This window comes from Homo sapiens, chromosome 12 (genome assembly GCF_000001405.40).
Source record: "Homo sapiens chromosome 12, GRCh38.p14 Primary Assembly".
NCBI lineage: Eukaryota > Metazoa > Chordata > Mammalia > Primates > Hominidae > Homo > Homo sapiens.
In genome coordinates this window covers 46,173,693-46,199,134 of record NC_000012.12, presented here as the reverse complement: position 1 = coordinate 46,199,134, position 25,442 = coordinate 46,173,693, and the positions used below count along the sequence as shown (strand labels likewise).

Below are 25,442 nucleotides of genomic sequence, written 5' to 3'. Positions count from 1 at the left end.
CCCCACCCCCTCCCTGAGCAAGCCTGTGGCAGTTTGGTGTGGTTTGAAGAGTGGAGGGAAAGTCTAGATTAAGAGCAGCTTCGCGTTTCAACTGTATGTTTCATTCTCGAGCCCAGTGTACTCCTAGGTTTAATTTAGTCTAAATTAAGCATTCCCACTCCATGTAGCTTCTTCCAGTGATTACTTTAAATTTCTTTGCTAAGTCGCGTATGCACAGTGGAGCATGTCTTACATAGAGATTTTTCTTTCCAACCTGATTGTTTTAATAGACATTTCGAAACATTGCTTTTCTTGCCCTTTAGTTTACAGATTCTTTGTTTTTCAGAAAAACTGTCATTCAGCTATATACTTTGTCTCCTTTTAAAACCCTCTTGCTTTTCCCTCATTTTAGACAACGTGCAGTCCGACCTCCTTCACAAATATCAGAGTAAAGATGACATTCTCATCCTGACAGTGCGGCTGGCTGTCATTGTTGCTGTGATCCTCACAGTGCCGGTGTTATTTTTCACGGTGAGTAAGGGCCTCTGTGCAATATGAGAAAAGCTGAGGTCTCGGCTTTCCTTCTGCCTGCAGGAGCCCGTTGCAGAGAAAGCCTGCCCCAGGTAACTTTCCTGGGTTATTGAATCTGCATCTGGGAAAGATCCCAAGACTCGGTTCAGGCTCTTTGAAAAGCAAGTGGCATTCAGTGCGTCAGGGAGCCTCTGATGCAGTGAATCTCCATTCTAATTAATCTGACCCTGTTCTTTCCAAAGAAATGACAATAGAATGTTCAAATCTCAGTAGACATGAAGAGAGAATATAAAAAGAACAGAAATGAACATTCAAGTCTTAGATAAACCAAAGACAGAAATTACACCCCCCAACAAGAAAACTCTACTACTCATAAATAAAAATACTTTCCCTCTTAAGTCAAGCCCCCGTACTTCCAAAACTGTTAAGCTATCTATAAATTCACTAGGCATTACAAAACATTTCATGAATTCCTGTGCACCAATAAATCAGTTACTCTGCAGAGAAATGTCAATGTTGGCATGCTGTAGGCACTTACAGAATCTTTGTTTTCTTTTCTTGCAGGTTCGTTCATCTTTATTTGAACTGGCTAAGAAAACAAAGTTTAATTTATGTCGTCATACCGTGGTTACCTGCATACTCTTGGTTGTTATCAACTTGTTGGTGATCTTCATACCCTCCATGAAGGATATTTTTGGAGTCGTAGGTATGGCTTCATGACTTTGTGCTTGTCATTCTACAGTAGCTGTTTGCAGGGAAATTTTCACAATAGCAATGCTAAACTTTCTCTTTTGTCTTATTTTACAGGAGTTACATCTGCTAACATGCTTATTTTCATTCTTCCTTCATCTCTTTATTTAAAAATCACAGACCAGGATGGAGATAAAGGAACTCAAAGAATTTGGGTATGTCTCTTGCCAGCCACTCTAACTTTTCTGATTAGTTTTCCATTTAAATTTACAAAATAAATAGTCCACCTCTCTATCAAGACTACTTTCAGTTGCCTTGAAAGGAGGCAGAAGCCCTGTAGCTTTGCTACTTGGGAGATATTTAAAATATCATATCAGAATCTTCTCCCATCCCTCCAAATATCTTTTCTGGTTTTACTCTTTTTTTTTGAGATGGAGTCTCACTCTGTCGCCCAGGCTGGAGTGCAGTGGCCAGATCTCAGCTCACTGTAAGCTCCGCCTCCCGGGTTCATGCCATTCTTCTGCCTCAGAGAGTAGCTGGGACTACAGGCGCCCGCCACCATGCCTGGCTAATTTTTTTTCTTTTTTCTTTTTTCTTTTTTGTATTTTTAGTAGAGACGGGGTTTCACCATGTTAGCCAGGATGGTCTGTATCTCCTGACCTCATGATCCGTCTGCCTCGGCCTCCCACAGTGCTGGGATTACAGGCATGAGCCATCGCGCCCGGCCCTCTGGTTTTACTGTTATTGTGCCTCAGCTTTTGTTCTGATCCAGGGCATGGCCAGTCAGAAGAATGGACATTCATCCTCCTGTGTCTCTATAGGACAGTGTCTAGTCTTCAGCAAGAGAGGAAGTGACGAGGGACTCACAGATGTTATGCAGTCCACTGTTTCCATATGATTTCTAGTCATGTAACTCCTCCCTACAGCCCAGGGAACATGCAATGCCTTAATTAAAATGTCTGAGTTAGCTTAAATAGTCTTTTTTATTATTTGACAGATATGCTTTGGAACAACAGACCTGGATTCAAAAACTACCTTTCTATATTGGGATTCTTGTTTCCAGGTCTGGTGAAGTTCAAGGGCATCTTGAACGTGGTGCACTTGGAGACAGTGAGGGAAGCAGGGGTGAAGTGGCTGCTACCTGAGTCCCTTCTGGAGCTCCATTTTGCTTGGTCTTGGAGAAGGCTTCTCAGCTGCCCTCCCAGCTAGTGTAAGCACTGCAATTGTACCTGTTACCTGAGTCAACAGATCCAGATGAGAGGTGTAGGCAGGAGGGTCATCTCTGTGCATTTAGGAAAAGCAGCACTGATGCTAGTAGAGCATCCAGTTCCCCAACATGATCACCCCTGAAGCCTTAATTCCCAAATCCTTCCAAGCCTTATCTGTAGGGGCTTAATGAGGACAGAGAGGAAGAAACAGTCACTCTGGCACAACAGGACAATATATTCAGATTAAATCTGAAAATGGTGGAGGCCTGCTGCCCATGAATTCTGAGCCTCTCCAACCCTGGTCCCATAATGAAACTAGTAGTAGGGTCTTCCAAATGGCATTAGACAAGGGTTCCATCTGTGTAAGGACCACTGGGAGTTAGACTGGACCCAGGATGGTATGCCATGTGCAGCCATGTCAACCCCCAATTTGCTCCTCTCCTTCCTTAGCTCTTTCTCTTCCTCCAGTTTCCAGTCCAGCCCTGTTGGCTCTCAGAATGCATCATCCTTCTCCCTGCAGCGCTCTCACTGAACATGCTCAAGCGCAAGGAACTTATAATCTTGTGTTCTCTGGATTCTGGATTTAGTAATCTGTATTAGTCTGTTCTCACACTGCTAATAAAGAAATACCTGAGGTTGCTTCCAAGATAGCCAAATAGGAACAGCTCTGGTCTGCAGCTCCCAGCAAGATCGATGTAGAAGATGGGTGATTTCTGCATTTCCAACTGAGGTACCTGGTTCATCTCACTGGGACTGGTTGGACAGTGGGTGCAGCCCATGGAAGGTGAGCTGAAGCAAGGTGGGGCGTCACCTCACCCAGGAAGCACAAGGGGTCAGGGGATTTACCTTTCCCAGCCAAGGGAAGCCATGACAGACTGTAACTGGAGAAACGGTACACTCCTGACCAAATACTGCACTTTTCCCACAGTCTTAGCAACTGGCAGACCAGGTAATACCCTCCCGTGCCTGGCTCAGTGGGTTCCATGCCAACGGAGCCTTGCTCACTGCTAGCGCAACAGTCTAAGATCGACCTGCGACGCTGCAGCTTGATGCAGGGAGAGGCATCCAACATTGCTGAGGCTTGAGTAGCTCACAGTGTAAGCAAAGAGGCCCGGAAGCACAAGTTGGGCAGAGCTCATCGCTGCTCAGCAGGGCCTACTGCCTCTATAGATTCCACCTCTGGAGGCAGGGCATGGCAGAAAAAAACGCAGCAGACAGCTTTTGCAGACTTAAACGTCCCTGTCTGATGGCTCTAAAGAGAGCAATGGTTCTCTCAGCATGGCATTCGAGCTCCAAGAACAGACAGACTGCCTCCCCAAGCAGGTCCCTGACCCCCATGTAGCTGGACTGGGAAACACCTCCCCATCAGGGGCTGAGAGATACCTCAAACACGTGGGTGCCCCTCTGGGACGAAGCTTCCAGAGGAAGGATCAGGCAGCAATATTTGCTATTCTGCAGCCTTTGCTGGTGATACCCAGGCAAACAGATTCTGGAGTGGACCTCCAGCAAACTCCAACAAACCTGCAGCTGAGGGGTCTGACTGTGGGAAGGAAAACTAACAAAGAGAAAGCAATAGCATCAACATCAACAAAAAGGACATCCACACCAAATCCCCATCTATAGGTCACCAACATCAAAGACCAAAGGTAGATAAAACCACAAAGATGGGGAGAGAAACCAGAGCAGAAAAGCTGAAAATTCCAAAAAACAAGCACCTCTTCTCCTCCAAAGGATCGCAGCTCCTTGCCAGCAAGGGAACAAAACTAGACGGAGAATGAGTTTGACAAGTTGACAGAAGTAGGCTTCAGAAGGTTGGTAATAACAAACTTCTCTGAGCTAAAGGAGCATCTTCTAACCCATCGCAAAGAGGCTAAAAACTGTGGAAAAAAAAAAGGTTAGATGAATGGCTAACTAGAATAACCAGTGTAGAGAAGACCTCAAATGACCTGATGAAGCTGAAACCCACAGCACAAGAACTTCGAGACTCATGCACAAGCTTCAATAGCCGATTCGATCAAGTGGAAGAAAGGATATCAGTGATTGAAGATCAAATTAATGAAATAAAGTGAGAAGAATACAGAAAAAAGAGTGAAAAGAAATGAACAAAGCCTCCAAGAAATATGGGACTATGTGAAAAGACCAAATATACGTTTGACTGGTGTTCCTGAAAGTGAGGGGGAGAATGGATCCAAGTTAGAAAACACTCTTCAGGATACTATCGAGGAGAACTTCCCCAATCTAGCAAGGCAGCCCAACATTCAAATTCAGGAAATACAGAGAACACCACAAAGATACTCCAAGAAGAGCAACCCCAAGACACATAATTGTCAGATTCACCAAGGTTGAAATGGAGGAAACAATGTTAAGGGCAGCCAGAAAGAGAGGTTGGGTTACCTACAAAAGGAAGCCTGTCAGACTAACAGCCGATCTCTCTGCAGAAACCCTACAAGCCAGAAGGGAGTGGGGGCCAATATTCAACATTATGAAAGAAAAGAATTTTCAACCCGGAATCTCCTATCCAGCCAAACTAAGCTTCATAAGTGAAGGAGAAATAAAATCCTTTACAGACAAGCAAATGCTGAGAGATTTTGTCACCACCAGGCTCGCCTTACAAAAGCTCCTGAAGGAAGCACTAAACATGGAAAGGACCAACCAGTACCAGCCACTGCAAAAACATGCCAAATGGTAAAGACCAGTGACTCTATGAAAAAACTGCATCAATTAACGAGCAAAATAACCAGCTAACATCATAATGACAGGATCAAATTCAAACATAACAATATTAACCTCAAATGTAAATGGGCTAAATGCCCCAATTAAAAGACAGAGAAAGGCAAATTTGATAAACAGTTGAGAACCATCAGTGTGCTGTATTGAGGAGACCCATCTCATTTGCAAAGATGCACATAGGCTCAAAATAAAAGGATGGAGGAAGATCTACCAAGCAAATGGAAAGCAAAAAAAAAAGCAGGACTTGCCATCCTAGTCTCTGATAAACCAGACTTTAAACCAACAAAGATCAAAAGAGATAAAGAGGGCCACTACATAGTGGTAAAGGGATCAATTCACCAAGAAGACCTAACTATTCTAAATATATATGCACCCAATACAGGAGCACCCAGATCCATAAAGCAAGTCCTTAGAGACCTACGAAGAGACTTAGACTCCCACACAATAATAATGGGAGATTTTAACACCCCACTGTCAATATTAGACAGATCAACGAGACAGAAGGTTATCAAGGATATCCAGGACTTGAACTCAGCTCTGCACCAAGCGGACCTCATAGACATCTACAGAACTCTTCACCACAAATCAAGACAATATGCATTCTTCTCAGCACCACATTGCACTTATTCTAAAATTGGCCACATAATTGGTAGTAAAACACTCCTCCGCAAATGTAAAAGAACAGAAATCACAGCAAACTGTCTCTTAGACACAGTGCAATCAAATTAGAACTCAGGATTATGAAACTCACTCAAAACCACACAACTACATGGAAACTGAAAAACCTGCTCCTGAATGACTACTGGGTAAATAACAAAATGAAGGCACAAATAAAGATGTTCTTTGAAACCAATGAGAACCAAGACGCAATGTACCAGAATCTCTGGGACACATTTAAAGCAGTGTGTACAGGGAAATTTATAGCACTAAATGCCTTCAAGAGAAAGCAAGGAAGATCTAAAATCGACACCCCTACATCACAATTAAAAGAACTAGAGAAGCGAAAGCAAACAAATTCAAAAGCTAGCAGAAGGTAAGAAATAACTAAGATCGGAGCAGAATTGAAGGAGATAGAGATACAAAAACCCTTCAAAAAATCAATGAATCCAGGAGCTGGTTTTTTGAAAGGATCAACAAAATTGATAGACCACTAGCAAGACTAACAAAGAAGAAAAGAGAGAAGAATCAAATAGATGCAATAAAAAATGATAAAGGGGATATCACCACCGATCCCACAGAAATACAAACTACCATCAGAGAATACTATAAACACCTCTACACAAATAAACTAGAAAATCTAGAAGAAATGTATAAATTCCTGGGCACATAAACCCTCCCAAGACTAAACCAGGAAGAAGCTGAATCTCTGAATAGATCAATATCAGGTTCTGAAATTGAGGCAATAAATAATAGCCTACCAACCAAAAAAAAGTCCAGGACCAGAAGGAATCAGAGCCAAATTCTACCAGAGGTACAAAGAGGAGCTGGTACCATTCCTCCTGAAACTATTTCAATCAGTAGAAAAGAGGGAATCCTCCCTAACTCATTTTATGAGGCTAGCTCATCCTGTTATCAAAGCCTGGTGGAGACACAACAAAAAAAGAGAATTTTAGGCCAATATCCCTGAGGAACATTGATTTGAAAATCCTCAGTAAAATACTGGCAAACCAAATCCAGCAGCACATCAAAAAGCTTATCCACTATGATCAAGTCAGCTTCATCCCTGGGATGCAAGGCTGCTTCAACATATGCAAATCAATAAATGTAATCCATCACATAAACAGAACCAATGACAAAAACCACATGATTATCTCAATAGATGCAGAAAAGGCCTTTGACAAAATTCAACAGTGCTTCATGCTAAAAACTCTCAATAAACTAGGTATTGATGGAACATATCTCAAAATAATAAAGAGCTATTTATGACAAACCCACAGCCAATATCATACTGAATGGGCAAAAACTGAAAGCATTCCCTTTGAAAACTGGCACAAGACAAGGATGCCCTCTTTCACCACTCCTATTCAACATAGTGTTGGAAGTTCTGGCTAGGGCAATCAGGCACAAGAAAGAATGAAAATGGTATTCAATTAGGAGAGGAGGAAGTCAAATTGTCTCTGTTTGCAGATGATCCCTGATTGTATATTTAGAAAACCCCATTGTCTCAGCCCAAAATCTCCTTAAGCTGATAAGGAACTTCAGCAAAGTCTCAGGATACAAAATCAATGTGCAAAAATCACAACCATTCCTATACACCAATAATAGACAAACAGCCGATCATGAGTGAAATCCCATTCACATTTACTCTGAAGAGAATAAAATACCTAGGAAGCCGACTTACAAGGGATGTGAAGGACCTCTTCAAGGAGAACTACAAACCACTGCTCAACGAAATAAAAGAGGACAGAAACAAATGGAAGAACATTCCACGCTCATGGATAGGAAGAATTAATATCATGAAAATGGCCATACTGCCCAAGGTAATTTATAGATTCAATGCTATCCCCATCAATCTACCACTGACTTTCTTCACATAATTGGAAAAAACTACTTTAAAATTCATATGGAACCAAAAAAGAGCTCACATAGTCAAGACAATCCTATGCAAAAAGAACAAGCTGGAGGCATCATGCTACCTGACTTCAAACTGTACTACAAGGCTACAGTAACGAAAACAGCATGGTACTGGTACCAAAACAGATAATATGGACCAATGGAACAGAACAGAGGCCTCAGAATTAACACCACACATCTACAACCATCTGATCTTTGACAAACCTGACAAAAACAAGAAATGGGGAAAGGATTCCCTATTTAATAAATGGTGCTGAGAAAACTGGCTAGCCATATGTAGAAAGCTGAAACTGAATCCCTTCCTTACACCATATACAAAAATTAACTCAAGATGGGTTAAAGACTTAAAGGTAAGACCTAACACCATAACAACCCTAGAAGAAAACCTAGGCAATACCATTCAGGACATAGATATGGGCAAAGACTTCATGATTAAAACACAAAAAGCAATGGCAACAAAAGCCAAAATAGACAAATGGGATCTAATTCAACTAAAGAGCTTCTGCACAGCAAAAGAAACTACCATCAGAGTGAATAGGCAACCTACAGAATGGGAGAAAATCTTTGCAGTCTACCCATCTGACAAAGGGCTAATATCCAGAATCTACTAAGAACTCAAACAAATTTACAAGAAAAAAGCAACCCCATCAAAAAGTGGGCAAAGGATATGAACAGACACTTCTCAAAAGAAGACATTTATGCAGTCAACAGACACATGAAAAAATGCTCATCATCACTGGTCATCAGAGAAATGCAAATCAAAACCACAATGAGATACCATCTCACACCAGTTAAAATGGCGATCATTAAAAAGTCAGAAGACAACAGACGCTGGAGAGGATGTGGAGAAATAGGAACACTTTTACACTGTTGGTGGGAGTGTAAATTAGTTCAACCATTGTGGAAGACAGTGTGGCGATTCCTCAAGGATCCAGAACTAGAAATACCATTTGACCCAGCAATCCCATTACTGGGTATATACCCAAAGGATTATAAATCATGCTACTATAAAGACACATGCACATGTATGTTTATTGTGGCACTATTCACAATAGTGAAGACTTGGAACCCCAAATGTCCATCAATGATAGACTGGATTAAGAAAATGTGGCACATGTACACCATGGAATCGTATGCAGCCATAAAAGAAGGATCAGTTCATGTCCTTTGCAGGGACATGGATGAAGCTAGAAACCATCATTTTAAGCAAACTATCACAAGGACAAAAAACCAAACACTGCATGTTTTCACTCATAGGTGGGAGTTGAACAATGAGAACACATGGACACAGGACAGAGAATATCACACACCAGGGCCTGTCGTGGGGTGGGGGGCCCGGGGAGGGATAGCATTACGAGAAATACCTAATATAAATTACAAGTTGATGGGTGCAGCAAACCAACATGGCACATGTATACCTATGTAACAAACCTACACATTGTGCACATGTACCCTAGAACTTAAAGTATAATAATAAAAAAAAATACCTGAGACAGGGTAATTTATAAAGGAAAGAGGTTTAATTGACTCACAATTCCACATGACTGGGGAGGCCTCACAATCATAGCGGAGGGCAAACAAGGAGCAAAGTCACGTCTTACATGGTGGCAGGCAGAGCGCATGTGCAGGGTAACTCCCCTTTATAAAACCACCAGATCTCATGAGATTTATTCACTATCACAAGCACAGCATGGGAAAGACCCGCCCCCAGGATTCAATTACCTCCTACCAGGTAACTCCCATGACACGTGGGAATTATGGGAGCTAAAATTCAAGATGAGATTTGGGTAGGGACACAGCCAAACCATATCATCATCTGTCCACCTATGGCCTTCATCAGCCCTTCAGGTAACTTAGTTTTTGACACCTGTTTCCTATTTCACTTAATCAAATCTATTTTGCTTTTGTATGTTTTTTTTCCACTTTTTCAAACAGAAATGTTTGCTTGCCAGTGATAAGCTAAGTTGGTAGGTAATGAATAACAAAATGACCTGGATATTTTCTAAGGCCTTTATTCCCCCTTGGTTGTAATCTTAGTTTGAGAGAAGCCATAAGGATACCCAGTTATTTGTAGAATGGATACATACACTTGAGGTGACCATGAAGTCAAAGAATGGGACATAGAGGACTACTCTGCTTAGCTAGTTTTTTTTTTTTCCTATTTTCCCATCCTTGCAGAATCAGATTCATAAAATTTTAGAAAGATTCTCACAGTTCAGCCATGGTTGTGACAAACTCTGAATACCAGAGGACACAAAGGGAGAGGAAAAACTGTTCTATTTTTTTTCCCCAGGTACATGTGGAAAAATTTTGCTGCACTGAAAATAACCCTTGCCTTTCTCTTGCTCCAGGCTGCCCTTTTCTTGGGCCTGGGGGTGTTGTTCTCCTTGGTCAGCATTCCCTTGGTCATCTATGACTGGGCCTGCTCATCGAGTAGTGACGAAGGCCACTGAAACCCGCCGAGAAAAAGAAACATCCCTGTTGTCTGCTCAGTCAAGTCCCCACACATCAGCAATCTCTCACCACTTCTTTTGCAAGTTTACAGAAGCAAACAGAAATGTACAGGATACTTAAAATGGAATAACTTTTTGGTTGCAAAACAGAGACATGGTTCTATAATGCTTCATGTCCCTCCAAGATTTGAGATCAATTTAGGGATTGTGAAATTTTTTTTTCAAATTTCATACAATCATATTTCCCAGTACTTTTCACAATCATTTTTTACCCATCTAACTCTATGTTTTGTGGCTTCCCGGTCTCTTAGAACTTTGAAAACATGATATACAATAATGTTTATTTATTATACATCCAGATTCTGAAATAATTTTCCTACTGATGTTCAGCTCACACTATCTGTACCTTTTTAGAAGAGAAAAGAATCTTGAATTGTATATATTTATTTTGCTTTACAGAAAAAAATGGTTTCGTAAATAATTTGCCTATTTTGGTTAACATAGCACATGGAGATAATCATCTGAAAGTTATAGGGCACTGCCACTGCTGAATCAGAGCATGCCCAATATTTGAGGTGGCTCTGATTTCCTGGCAGCTGAACTCGGGTAGTCCAGTGGCCTAGCTGGTACCACATCTATTCCCATCCAGAGACATTCTCTGGCAAGTGTTCTCAGCTGAAAAGTGGTTGGGGATGATTCTTACCTTGGTAATTAAATGAAGCTACACATTTGGGTAATCTAGCAAATGAAGTATTTTTTCCCTCTTGGCAACTTGTGTCAGAGTTACTCTGGTCTGAGTCAACTTTCGCTGGGGAAAACCTATGGAACCTACTGCAAAAAGATTGTCCAAAATGCCTAAGAAAATACTCCTCTGATGCATTTAGCCTTCAACCCTACCTGTCTTGCTGAAGGGAGAAAAATGTTTTAGTACATTATAGGCCCAGCAGCTTTTATTCATGTCCACCAGCTAGTTGCACAGAGAATCATGTGTACCTAACTAAGGATGATCTAGGATAAGTAACTCCTGTTTTATATTGAGTATTTTAGGGAAGTCTTTAAAAGACTTGTTTTATATCTATAAATCTAGGTTATTACAAATACAAGAATTTTGTACCTTAAATAAGCCTCATTTCTATTTCTTCTTCATTAATTCTCCATCTAGTCTTGTGAAAAAAAAAAAAAAAAAACCCTCAGAGATAGTCTTTGTGAAGAGCTTCTGACAGAATCACTGAGTACCTTCCTTCCCCCAGATGAGGAAGACAAGGGGGTCTCAGTGTCTGTGCTGTCTCCTCTTCTCTTCCCCAACCAAGGACTGTGCCATTACTGCCCGTCTCAACTGTCCATGCAGGAGGACAGAGTTGCCTGGTACTCTTACCCTTGTCCCTCTCCTAAAGGGAGCACAAGGAAACTGAAGAGACTGAAAAAGAAGAGAGTTTGTAGCTGAAAAAGAATAGGGATAGCAAGGAAACCCAGAACTGCATTCCCCTAAGTGGGGCCATCCCATGTGATTGAATTGTCCATAGCTTGCCTATGGTGAGAAATGTGCATGCTCCGTGAGCTGGTCTCTTGAAACAGGACTTATGCTTCCTCTATATTCTGGTTAAATTTTCCAAACACATAAGTTCACTGAGCACAGATTTCTTATCCAGAGACAAGTAGAATCTAACCGCAGACTGTTGGCAGAGTTTCCAGGCACTTAGCCATGTTCCCTTCCTGACTCAAATCCCCAAAGGCCTTCACTCTCACTGAGAATCACACTACTGTCCCATAGATAAGGCAGGCATTGAAGCACCTGTCGTGATCCTCTAGGGGGGAGAATGAAAGGTTATTTCCTGCATTGCATCATCATAGCTTTTAATATAATGCTACAGAATCATATCCACATTAGGTTAGAGTTCAGATATTTGGATATGAATACCTAACCTAGCCATATCCATGGCCATCTCTGTTCTTTTCAGCAATGTTTTCCATATTATATTAGCAATGACAGAAACAGAACAAGCCAAGATCCAGTCAGTTCTTGGGAGCTTGTCTAGAGCACCAAGTAATGAAATAGCCAGGTAGTGGGATGACTGTACCTTTAAAAATACATAATTTAGTTTGCAAGCTATATTATGCTACTTTCTATTTTCCTTGTTACTTTATAGCAATTCATTTTACCCTCACAAAGTCAATTTAGAACCTTATCATTAACTGGGATGTGTAGTGATATTTTTGGGCCTCTGGGTTTCATGTGTCAATACAAGGAATATTTATTTAAAATAGATTTATTTAGAGGAGGCACAGTGTTGTTGATCTGTGTGACACCACCCATATTTTTAAAAACCTTTGTATGTTTCTCTAAATTTGTTGTTGACTGAATATAATAGACCCTACCATAATTCGTCAAATATCACTGATTAGTTACATCCTTTGTGTGAGATTAGCTGTAAAGTATACTGCTCTTATTCTTATTCAGAATAGTTAATTGGTAGCCAAAAATACATGTATCACAGATGTTAGGTCGAATTTAAACAGCACAGTCAAGTGCTATGGAAGTTTTTCTGCTAAATTAGTAGATTAAAGAATACTATACCCTAGGCATGGGGAGCAGCACGTTTTCCTTTGGTAGGTAGGATCTCTATACTAGTGAACAGTGCCAGTTCCACACTTTGGACTTAGAACTGTTCTCTAGTTATTGTAACACAGAATACTGTCAATCCCTAATTTACTTAATGTTACTTATTGGAAGTGGGGCTGATGAAATACGCACAGGAGGGAAATCTACTGTGTTTAGGCACAGGCAGCCCCAGTGTATAAGGAGATCATATTCCAAAAGGTTGTCAGTTGGTTGTTTGCAACCTGGAATGTATTTTCCTTTAGAGACCAGGTTATCCATGGTGGTTAGGCCCCTAGAGCAGCTGGAAAAGATGATCAAACCAATAGGTTAGCTGACATCGAATAATGTAATAGGTTTGCTAAAGAATCTAACCATCAAATATAATATTGTTTCCAGGGAGGGTGTTTGTTCAGAGTTGCCTGTTAGTAGAATCTGGACTGTCCATCCCAGCCACATCCCACCTACTGGACAGTAGGGGTAGAGATGCCACCAGACTACAGGTGACCAGATTGGCCTGAAACATGGTGTCCAGTAAAAACGGGGAGGAATAAGTCCATGACTGCTGGAGAGCTTGGTGGTAGGAGGAGGGTGAAGGAGGGTGAGGGGGCCTCTCATGGGTCAGAAACCTCCAGGGACATCCCTCAGCTGGTAACTCTGCTGTTGTCCGGAGGGTTCAGGCTTGGTGTGCCTTCTTCTGTTTGTCTGACTTTTGGCTCCTATGGTTCATCTCCTGCCCTGCCCACCACAGAAAAGGATGCTGCTGCATAGCTTCTCCAATGTACCAGTCATTGAGGCCAGCGCGCAGCACTTTTAATGTTTTTAGTGCTAGTAACTGTGTTTTAACTCTCCAGGAATAAGCTGGGAGGTTAGAAAACAAGAAAAAAGGGGGAAAAAAAAACCTCTCCACCCACTTTCCTTTTTTACAGTTACAGACCCTGTTGAGAAAAAGAAGCACCCAGATGGGTGATGGTGATAGGGCTTGTGGTGGACACAGGGTTGTGGTAAGATTCCTCAGTGCTTCGGCGAGCACCTAAGACTATTACCCTGGAACTGACTGCTTTCTAGAGCTTGATTCATGCCTCTAAGCCAGTGGTTCTCAAAGTGTGGCCCCTAGACCAGTAGCATCAGCATCATCGGGGACCTCATTAGAATGCAGATTCTCAGCCCCCTCCCAGACATGGTGAAGTCAGAAGCTCTCAGGGAGGGACTCAGCAAATGATTCTAAAGCGCATCAAGTTTGAGAACCACCCTAAGCCAATGAGTCTCCCTTTTACTTCCCATTAGTCCTCCCTCACCAGATGATTCCTAGGACTCATGGTGCAACATACAGGAGCCAGGCTTTAGGGAGGGGAGGAAAGGAGCCTGGCGGCAGGGGTCTCTGCAATGGCAAGAAAGTGAGTGAATCCAGCGCTGCCACCTGGTTATCCCCTTCTCGTTGAAAATAGCAGCGCAGGTGCAAATTCCTAAACACAGGCTGCCTGCACTCGGTGTTACCTCGGGCTGAGGCATGATAATATTTTATTTTTTAAAGCTGTGAGGAAATGAAAGTGAGGCTTTGGTTGGGGCGAGGCAGTTGTGAAAGAAATTAAAATAAAAGACCCTTTGTAAATGCAGACTTAGAAGAAATACTGAATTTGTGTCAGAAGTTCTCCAGTGTTTGTGTTAATCGTGTGGTGATAATCCTGTCCTCCTTTTAAAGCGAATTCTCTACTGAAAGGTCTGCTCTGCTTAAGGAGCTACAAACTGCTCTCAAAAGAATGAAATACTGAGTTCCAATTCAGTGAGGCACAGTGTTGGACTATGGCACATTTAGTTGGAGTCGGGGGGAGGTCAGGAATATGATCAGATAATGGATTTTATACCTTAGAGCAAAATCTATTAGTCTCTCTCAGTTTATCAATTTAAATGGCTTTAGGCTTATAGGGGGTGTAAACTTTAAGAATATAATTCTCCCATTCAAGTTTACAGCAAACATCTAGCCACCTTCAAAACAAAGAATATACAGACCATCATTTAGCAATACTAATACATGATTTTCCTTGGGGATGGCAGGTTTGAGAATCCTTTAGCAACAGGACATACTTCCCCTAAATTACAGTGAATTATTTATAACGAGATAAAGCTTTCAGGTACAAGCTGAAGGTGGGGTGTCTAACAACTAAAAACTATCACTAAATCTCAAAGAGAAAGTTCTTGCAAAATATGTAAAGTTCACAAGGTGCAGACATTTTCCTTCTTTAGGCTTTTATCTAAGGAAGGGCTATGAAACTGGGCCCATCTGTATACAGGCTCAAATTTACGTTTTTAAAGGAAGAATCTATGCAGCTGAGGCTTATTGCAGGAAATACTTCATTTGTATGTAAATATTATTGTAAATAAATAGGAGGCTGTATATTTTTGAAGTTGTTGATCTGCACTGAAATAGAAGTCTCTAGGATCTGCATATAAACAATAAATGTTTCCTAGAAATTAGTGGTTTTGTTTGGGAATTAGAAAAATTTACATTCTCTCCCAGGTAACATAGTTCTCTCAATGTAAACTTGGAACCTGAAACCCTACTTAATTTAGAGAAAGAAATGTCTGAGAAATAGTTCCCTTGATTTCTTATGCTGGCATTAAGATCAATTATTTAACAGATAGTCCTCTGAGATACAAGTAAGGAATATTTAGACACAAATCCTTGTCCTATAGAAACAGATATACCCAAATGACAAATTGTTTCTTCATAATGATCTTCCATTTTTAACACTGATACCACTACACAGTACATATGAAAACAGAAGCTGGGGAGAAGAATGTTTTTTTCACAATTGAATTGCTGCATTTCTCAAACTTTGGGATCTATGAAAGCGGGGAGAGGGAACCTGAATATTAATTATGAGCACAAATTTGAAGGAAAGAAAACAAAGAACCATTATCTAATCAAGCTTTGAAAGTCCTGCATGTTTGCCTTTTATTTTAGTGTTGACGCCAACATAGACTGTCTAAGGTATTTTTTTCCCCAAACACTTGAATCTTGGTCGTTGGTATGTAATCCACTCTCTAGAGTCCAGTGTACTTTAGACTTCATCTGAGTCCAATACATGTACCACACTACTGTTTTATTAATGTAAAAACCTTGTAAATGAATTTCAGATGGGTGATTTAAGTGAGTCACAAGTCACAAAACTTTGCTATTCATAGTTAATCAAATAGAACTGGGTTTTTTTTTTCAGAGTGTGGTGTAAATAAAGAAATATAAGAAGTTCTGTTCTATAACTGCTCTGTTAACATAGTTTTTAAACATTAAAAAATGTGAACTAAAAGTATTTAAAAATGTTGTGTTTGTTCTTTTGCAATGCAATACTAAAATGGGGCAGTTGTGTACTATATACACTATTCAGGATTGCTGGAGAAGGGTTATACATATTTGTCAGTGTTCTAGATCATAGAAGGTTATATATTTAAGCACCCTAACGTAAATATTTTTAAAAATACTTCTGATAGAAATCTATCTGGTCTGAAACATATACCACATTTCTCCATTCTTCATAATCAGAGTAGATTCACCATAATATTTTCTTTTTTAAGTCAAGTTTACCTTTATAAGTATTAATTTCTGCCCTGTGTTGTAGGAAGGAGTTGAGTCTTCCTCTACCCACATTGCTGCCACCTATAAAAGAAGAAATTCTATCAACACTTCATTTCTCAGTAACTATTGGGTCAAAGCTAGTGCAGCCTTGTCTTTTTATCCATCACCAACTCCTCTCCAGCATCTTAGAAAGGCTTTACCAGACCAGCAAGATGGCCAAAGTCTGATATCCAAGTTCTTCTTGTGGACAGGGCTAGCACAGGAATAGCCTGGGTCTTTTACGGTGTGGCTGGGAATGAAGACCCCCTTGATGAACTCTTCTGGCCTACCCAGGTGACAGCAGTGCATTCTGTAGGGCCTCGGTGGCACACACGCAAAACTCAAAGTAGAAACCTGGGGTACGGGAGTCCAAGTCATGTTCTCCAATATAACTTCGTTAGGAATAAAGCTGATATTTTTATCCTTACATGCTTCCTATGCCTACTTCTTAATTGATCAAAACCCCAAGGGCAAAGGGTGTGAGTGAGTAATTAGCACTTTTAAACTCAAGCAGTGGTAAAAGTTAAAAGACTATTGAGAATCTGAGCAGATTTTGTTCCAAATTGAAAGGGCCAGTCCTGCAGTGCCTTTGATAGTTCTGGCTTCTTCCTTCTACTCTCCCTCCATGAGTATTTGCTAATACTGTTCCATTCCGTCCTTTTTTACACAGAATTGTCAGGGAAGAGCTATTCTCTGCCTTTCCCATGGAATTAACTATGGGCTTGTATTAGGGCTCTCCAGAGGGACAGAATTAATAGGATATATGTATATATGAAAGAGAGTTTATTAGGGAGAGTTGGCTCACATGATCACAAGGCGAAGTCTCACAATAGGCCGTCTGCAAACTGGGGAAGAAAGAAGCCAGTAGTGGCTCAGTCCGAGTCCAAAAGCCTCAAAAGTAGGTAAGCTGACAGTGCAGCCTTCAGTCTGTGGCCAAAGGCCAGAGAGCCCCCAACAAACCCCTGGTGTAAGTCCCAGAGTCCAAAAGCCAAAGAACCTAGAGTCTGATGTCCAAAGGCAGGAGGAATAGAAGGAAGCACCCAGCATGGGAGAAAGATGAACACCAGAAGACTCAGCAAGCCAGCTTAGCCCGTCTTCTTCCACCTGCTTTGTTCTAGCCATGCTGGCAGCTTATTGGATGGTGCCCACCCCCATTGAGGATGGGTCTTCCTCTCCCAGTCCACTGACTCAAATGTCAATCTCCTCTGGCAACCCCCTTGCAGATGCACCCAGAAACAATACTTTACCAGCTATCTAGGCATCCTTCAGTCCAATCAAGTTGACACCTAATATTAACCATCACGGGGCTTAATGATAACTTTGCAACTCAGATGTCCTGTTTTCTTACTTTCTAGATTTATAATTGTGTTCTACCTAGTTTGGAAAGGGTGGATGAGGCCCAAATAACTAGGCCAATTTTTGAATATCAATTTTTAAAAATCTTTTATTAGTTTACATGTTAGGCTAATCCAAGTTGGTAGAATAATCTGCTCATTGGGAGAGTCAGTACACCACCAAAATAACCTGACAAATTACCCAAATTATATAAAGCCATAGCACTTAGAATTGAACTGGGTACAAATAAATAAATAGATCATAATAGTGAATGCATAAATGATCCAAAAAATACCAGAAAGGTGGCCTTTCAAATCAATGGGGAAAAATAAAGGTTACTTAATAAATGATAGGAAAAAATACATAGTTTTTGAAGAAAATGAAACCAGATTTCTATATTACCCCTTATGTCTAAAGAGAACTTAGATATATTAAAGACTTTAAATAACACATGTGTAAATATATCTATTTTTATAAGCATGAAACCATGACTTAAATAAAGTATGTGTCAAAAAATTTAGTTAGCTTATTAATTAAGGAACAAGTAATATGTTTAAAAATTGGTCCAAAGGAGAACTCAAAGAACAGATACATATATCAGCAATCAGGAATTCTAAAATGAATTTGCTAATAGATGCAAAACTGGCCTGTCCACAGGGGGAAATTAATTGCATCTTTTTTTTTAATGTACTTTAAGTTTTAGGGTACATGTGCACAATGTGCAGGTTAGTTACATATGTATACATGTGACATGCTGGTGCGCTGCACCCACTAACTCGTCATCTAATTAATTGCATCTTAATCAGACAGAATTATTTTGTATGTCTGGACAATAATCATTTCCATCTCTCAGTTTTCTACAATTTAGAGGGTTATAAAGTAGCTCAAAAAACAAAAAAAGGGGGTGCGAGGCAAAACTCTTATAGAATCAGATAACCCAGAAGCAGCATATAATATTTCGTTGAAAGTACACCCACCCAGTAATCTTTTTTGCTTCTTTTAAAGTCTTTCCAGTTTCCGTAACAACTTCCCCTTTGTGACTATAAAAATCTCAAAGATTATTCTTGGTCATAAAAAGAATGGTCCCATTAGCCTTGGCCTGATTATTTGCATGGGTGCGGCAAGGGTGTTAATTAACCACATAAGCTTCCTTGAATTTGGTTTGCAATTCTAGAGCTATGTACTATTGAACAGCTACTGGAGCCACAGAACTGCACTTTTAAAAGTCTCTATGGGTTGAGGGGGAAAAAGTCTCCATCATTTGCTAGCTCAGGGCTAGGAAAGCAAGCCCGAGAGACTCCACCGTATTCACCTATACCATCTATAGATTTGGATGAATTCCTTTCTACTTGAGGTCGCTTAAATTTACTAAGGTTCATGGCCTGCCAGGAAGTGCTCTTTGTCACCACCCATCATAATAGGATCCTATAGACCAGTTTAGGTACTAGGCTCTAGGTTACAACCCTAGAAGGTTGGTACTAAGCCAGGGTTTTGTAGGCATTGGCTACAGAAATAAAATTAACCTTTGTTCCTTGGAGTTGTTTGACATACCTGTTAAATGACCATCATCCTCACATATGATCTTCCAAGTAAGGCCATGGTGACATTCAATTTTGTCCAGTTATGCACCGGGAAAGAAAAAGACTCTTGTTGAACCTATGCAAATAACTACATTGCTGTCAAAAAGGTAACTCAGTCACAGTGTTTAAACTCGGGGTGGGGGAGAGTTCAGTGAAAAGCAGGAAGAAAATGTTTAGTTTTATTTTACAAAAGCAGAGTCTACTGAATTGTTGTAGACTGAAGATAGCCTAAGAAGAAAGAGAAATGTCTTCCTTATATATCCAGCAAATACAGCCTTAAAACAACATCAATACAACCACAGTGAAAATTTTCCTCATCAGCTCATTCTGTCCTTTGTAATTGTGTTTTGCTGAATTTTGGATTGGCATTTCTGCATTCAGAAAGCTATGTGCTTCTGCATTGAAAAGACTCCTGTAAATTCATACTCATTACACAGGTACAGACTGAAAATTGTCTAAATACCATCAGCTCAGGGTTTGTACCCAAGAGTCTATTCTTTGAATAGACTTCGATAGTTTAAAGTACTTGGTGCAATCTTCTTCCATGAGACTCTGAGGCTCTTTCTTTGCTGAAGAACCAAATTTTGGCTTGTAGTTAATAGCAGAGACTAAGGTTAGTTTCAGGAAGCAGAAACCTATTTGATAATAAGACCAAAAGTTGTAGTTAATTTACCTCAGTAACTAATAGTTATCCATTATATCTTAGGTATCCTTACCGATAACCTTGAAGGACCACGTGGTATTCCACTGAAAGGTCACCTAATAATCTGTTTTGCCCATTTCAAAGTCCTTTGCAATTTTTCTCTTGCAATATATATATCTATATCTTATATAGATAATACCTTGGAGTGCAGAAGATCTCTCTTGTTACAAAACATAGGAGCCACAGAGGAAGTAATTGATCAGTAAATATTTTAAAACTCTGTATGACATACAATAGTGCTAACATGTAAAAAAATCTGAAAATCCAAATGGGATACAAAACTAATATTTGCCACTCATATGTTGCAATGGATGGGACCTGCCTCTTCAGTTTGAGGTTCAAATTATTCAAAATATTCCCCTGGCCAAATTTCCAGGATGCCTAACACCTCTTTCTTTCCCACTTCCAAATGGTGCAAGAACCCAGAGGTGTCTGCTTCCAAACTCCAGGCAAAGAGAGAACTGGTGAATGTAGGCTTCACAGCAGGCTTCCTTCCCACCTCATTCATTTCCGCCACTGCCACATGATGTCCTTGTTGAACACCGGCCCTGTGTAATCTGTTACATCTGTGTCTGCTGCTGCAATCATGTCCTCATAGGTCCACAACTTGAGGAGGGCTGAAGCAGCAGAGGAAGGTTGACCCCAATCCACACAGTGCTATGGTAGCTGTCACTTTCGGAGCCCAAGCAAGGAATGGCTCCTCAGTTTGCCACCAGCTCACTCCCAATCCATACCCTCCACCCTGTCTGGCTCAGGGGGGCCTTTTGTTTACAGCTGTACATTGTGTTAAAACCAACCCTCTCACTTTCCCCCAACCCTCTCACTTTCCCCCAACGCATGGGAGTTGAAACTTGATACTGATTCCAGGTTCTACTCCTGATGTCCTCATGGTGAGTTCCTCTGTAGAACTCTTACTGTTTCTTGCTCCTTCCACGATTATCTTAATCCACAAGTGAAGTATGAAAAGTAGCAAAACCCAAAAGGGAAAAAATTGAGTAGGAGACAATATTATTTTCCCAGGAGCTGTCCTGGTGCCTCTGCAACTTTGCCTGACTCAATAATTTTTGGTGCAGAAATGTCTGACTTGGGGCACTCAGGTTAAACCACAGAAACACTGTCACATCCTTCCTTTGGAGTGGTGCTTGCCTGATTGGCTCCTTTTTTAAAAATCCCCTTTTCAAGAAAATTTGGCTGCTATTCAGAATTTAAGGGCCATTCGACTTTTCTCTTGTTTAAAAGTGGCTAATTGTCTTCACAAAGAAGCACCTAGAAGCTTCTTAAAGTTTCCCTAAGCAGCCCTTGGCTACGTAGCATAAGGCTAATTTCCTTAATAAATCAAGAGCTTCTAAAAATCACTAAGAAGGAAAAAAATAAGCTGTAGAAAATAAAAAAGGAGCCACCAGAAAAAGAAATACAATAAACACTTGAGATGTGTTCAATCTAACGCTCTAACTCTTAAATCAATACATGCAAATTAGAATATCTATATGATACCTTTTTATTTCTTTTTCATATTGGCAAAGACCAAAATGGTTGCTGTTATAGTTCCGGTAAGGATGTAAGAAACAGGCATTTGTGTATGCAGTTGGTGAGAATGTAAACTGTTGCAACCTTTTTGGAGAGCAATTTGGCAATATCTATGAATATTGTAAGTGCTCTTTACTTTTGTCCCATCAATTCTGTGTCTGTGAATTTTTCTAAACTCACAAGAAGGTATAAGAACATATGAACGATAGAATGTCAGATTCACATCTTGTCTGTTTACCTCAGTTCATATTCCAGCCTCTCTTCTTTTATGTTTCTGTAGTCCTCCTAGCTGTTCTTTCACCACTTCTGTTTTTTCAATAAGCTCTTCAACAGTCCTTATATTTATACTTCCCCTAACTAAACCCAGCCCCAGCCCTGTTTTCCATATTCAAGCTCGCAGTTAGCCCAGCTCCCTACCACAGATAGAAACTAGAGATGGTATTTGACCATATGCATCAGAAAATATTAATTGGTAAATCCCTGTTCAACTCTAGTTTGTTTCCGCATAGCCAGTTTCAAAATGATAGGGGTAGTTTTTATGAAATTTATGAATTTAGGACAGCTTTAAAAAATAATTATGCTAGGGCCCTACCTCAGACCAATTAAATCATAATCTCTAGTGGTATAGTCAGAGATATTTTCAAAATCTTCTAGGGTGGAAGGTGGGAGGAGATAGAGGATCAGGAAAAATAACCAATGGTTTAATACCTGGGTGACAAAATAATCTGTACAACAAACCCAAGTGACAAAACTTTACCTATGTAACAAACCTGCACATGTACCCCTGAATTTAAAAGTTAAATTAAAAAAATTATTTTAAAAAATTACTCCAAACTTAAGATGAAGAGAAGATATAATATGAAACTGGGAAATTATTTACCAGTCCTAGCCAAGGGTTATTTAATTATCTAGAGGAATGTACTTTTGTTTGTTCAGATTTTTATCTGGTAGAGATGCAAATGATTTCTGCCCAGTAGAAAAATAACCTCAAAGGTTTGTATCTAACTTAACAATCTTGTTATATTTTTCTATTATTTCTATATGCCTGTAAACATCCAGTTCTTCAAAATGCTCTGAATTTTTTTTTTTTTTCTTTGAGACAGGGTCTCACTCTGTCACCCACGCTGGAGTACAGTGGCTAGAACACGGCTAACTGCAGGCCTGAGTTTCCGGGCTCAAGTGATCCTTCCACCTCAGCCTCTTCAGTAGCTGGGGCCACAGGCACACACCACCAGACCTGTCAATTTTTTTTTTTTTGTAAGGATGGGGTCTTACTAACTTACAAGAAGATATAAGAACAAGCAATCCTCCTGCCTCTGCCTCCCAAAGTGCTGGAATTGCAGGTGCAAACCACCACACCTGGCCTCAAAATGTTCTTTGAACCAGCTTTACCATCCTACTTCAGATTGCCTGTGTGTGGCCTTTGTCTTATTATTTTTGTTAAGAATACTATCAGCCAGGTGCAGTGGCTCATGCTTGTAATATCGGCAGGAGGATCGCTTGAGCCCAGGAGTTTGAGACCTGCCTGGGCAACAAAGTGAGATCCTGCCCCTACAAAAAAATATATTTTTTAATTAGCCTGGCATGGTGGTATGCACCTATGGTCCCAGCTACACGGGAGGCCAAGGCAGGAGGATGGCTTGAGCCCAGGAGGTTGAAGTTGCAGTGAGCTGTATTCACATCACTGCATTACAGCCTGGGTGACACAGTGAGACTCTGCCTCTTAAAAAAAAGGAAAAAAAGAATACTATTCATAGGATGTGAAATTCTCATCTCTGTTGTGATATTTGATGTTGTCATACTTGCTGCCCCCATGGTATTTATTATCTTTGATCATCAGCTTTTTATTTTATTCATGATATGGGTACCGTGGACATAGAGTAATTTTTTGATATATTCTTGATGAGCAAAAAATGTCTTATATGAAGATAAACATTGCAATTCCAATTTTTGGAAACAATAGGCAGGCCAAACAGAATGTGTCTGAGAGCAGGACAGGCCCCTGACCACCACCAGTTGGTGACTTTTTCTTCAGTCAGTCACATTGGAAGCAAATTAGATCTGTATGAACAGCTCAGCACTTGGAAATCGGGCATCAGAAAACATGTTATATACCATCCCTACCTTTTGAAAGGATAGCTCTTCTAAGTAGTTTAGAAGCAGTCCTTTCTGCCTGGGGAAGCCGCTTGCTTTTACTTTTCAAACATCAAAGTTTTTATTTGAGGTAAAGGTTTATTTTCCTGTGGAATACAGATGGTTTGGAACAGCATGAAGGAAAAAGTTAGATCTACTTTCCATTCATAGTTTTCAAAGACCCTTTTGACAGTCAAATGATGTCCTTATTCCTGGATCTGTTCCCTGAGAGATTTTCAGTATAGCCCACTATGTGATGTACATGCCGGGTATTCAGCATTTCCCCGCTTACTTAACCCGTGACTGACAGGTGTAAATGGCACAGCAGCCCTGCCACTGATGGGGACGGTGTGGAGATGTGTTTGCGTGTCTGCACTGCTCCCCCGTGGGATGGTGCCAGTTTCCCTTTGGGTTTTGCTGGATACTGCGTCCTTCCTTGTGTGGCTCCTTCCCTTCCCAGCCTCACTCCCTGACCCTCTGTGAATTCTTCTTGGGAACACTTCCTAATAAATCACTTTCACGTACATTCTGTATTGGGATTTGCTTCTGGGAAACCCAACCTAATACGTTAAGTGTGCCTCAGCTCACAGTACCTATAGGTTATATTTTAAATAATCATTTTCCCCCTATTGTTTTGATCTTTCTTTAAAAAGTAAAATAAAATCCTGGTTATGTTTTTTGCCTTTTTTTTTTTCTTTTTTAGTATGGGGTTGGGGCAGGCCTTAGCTAAGTCTTGTGGACCTTCCTCCCCGTGTTCAATATCAAACATATAGATAATGCTCCTTTTGGAATAAAATTCCCCTACCAATCTCCCAAGGTTCTTTCTCTGAATGACATAACCACATAAACCACGTAAACAGCATATTCTGTCTGCAGTGTCTGTTCACCTGGGACCTAGCATGGGATTTCCAAACTGTTCTCAGGAACACCCCATAGTTCCCCTCTCAGACTTCCCTGATAACTCTTGCAGACCACATCCCCTTTTCAAATAATGCTCTCAGGGGACACTCACTGCATTGTTTGTGTGTGCTGTGTGAAATGAATGGCAAATACTTTACTACCCTCACATTTGAAATGACCGACTAAATAATCGATTCTTCGAGTAGTAGGTCAGTAAGTCGTATCATGTGATTGTTCGCAATTCCTCCAAGGCTCCACGACTTCCCATATCACTCAGAGAAAAAGCCGAAGCCCTTCCCCAGATGGTCTTCCCGTGATCGCTTCCTCCCACATCCTGAAACCCCCCACCCCAGCCACCACCACCCAAACTGGCCTTGTTCCTGGAACATAACGAACAGACTCTGACCTCAGGGCCTGTGCACTTACTGTTCCCTTTGCTGTCATCCTCTTCTCACGCTTATTCATGTATAATTTATTGTCACTGCCCTCAGGTCTCTTCTCAGGTGTCACCTTCTCACTAAGACACTCTCAGGGCATTTCACAACAAATAACAACTTACCTACCCATCCCACTCACACTTCACTCCCTATATGCTTTCTCTTGCTTTATTATTATTATTTTTTTAGTCAACTCTTGTCTTCATCTGAAATGCTTTAGTTTGTTTAGTTATTTGTTTATGGTCTATGCCTACCTAGAATGTAAACTCTATGAGGGCAGGGTTTATTTTGTTCACTGCTGTCTCTCAGCACCTGAAACTGGGTAAGTGTTCAAATAAATATTTAAGTGAATAAATACATGATAGTGTTTACACTAAGTCACATTTCATCTTTAAAGTGGAATAATTAGACACAGGATTCAACATCATGTTTCCAGATTTATTTTTCTTTCTC

General features: G+C 40.5%; 1 protein-coding gene across 52 annotated transcripts in view, besides 1 other annotated feature; it reads left to right on the top strand.

Annotated features, from left to right (window-relative positions):
* SLC38A1 (solute carrier family 38 member 1) overlaps positions 1-16,072 on the top strand; it is an 85,981-nt gene extending 69,909 nt beyond the window's left edge. For 16 of the 52 annotated variants that reach the window (NM_001077484.2, XM_047429588.1, XM_047429598.1 and 13 more), the window contains 4 exons: positions 392-510; positions 1,075-1,216; positions 1,318-1,415; positions 10,064-16,072. In NM_001077484.2, coding sequence (NP_001070952.1) covers positions 392-510; positions 1,075-1,216; positions 1,318-1,415; positions 10,064-10,165 — 461 coding nt within the window. In that variant the 3' untranslated portion in view covers positions 10,166-16,072. Of the gene's footprint in view, positions 1-391; positions 511-1,074; positions 1,217-1,317; positions 1,416-2,197; positions 6,128-10,063 lie in introns of those variants that run through there. The other 36 variants (XM_011538784.3, XM_047429578.1, XM_047429586.1 and 33 more) reach the window with 4 other exon arrangements.
* Positions 20,818-20,947: an enhancer, noted in NCBI's record as "active region_6237". NCBI's record gives its function as "activates an Ori minimal core promoter by ATAC-STARR-seq in GM12878 lymphoblastoid cells {active_cell/tissue: GM12878}" and the evidence as "EXISTENCE:reporter gene assay evidence [ECO:0000049][PMID:35858748]".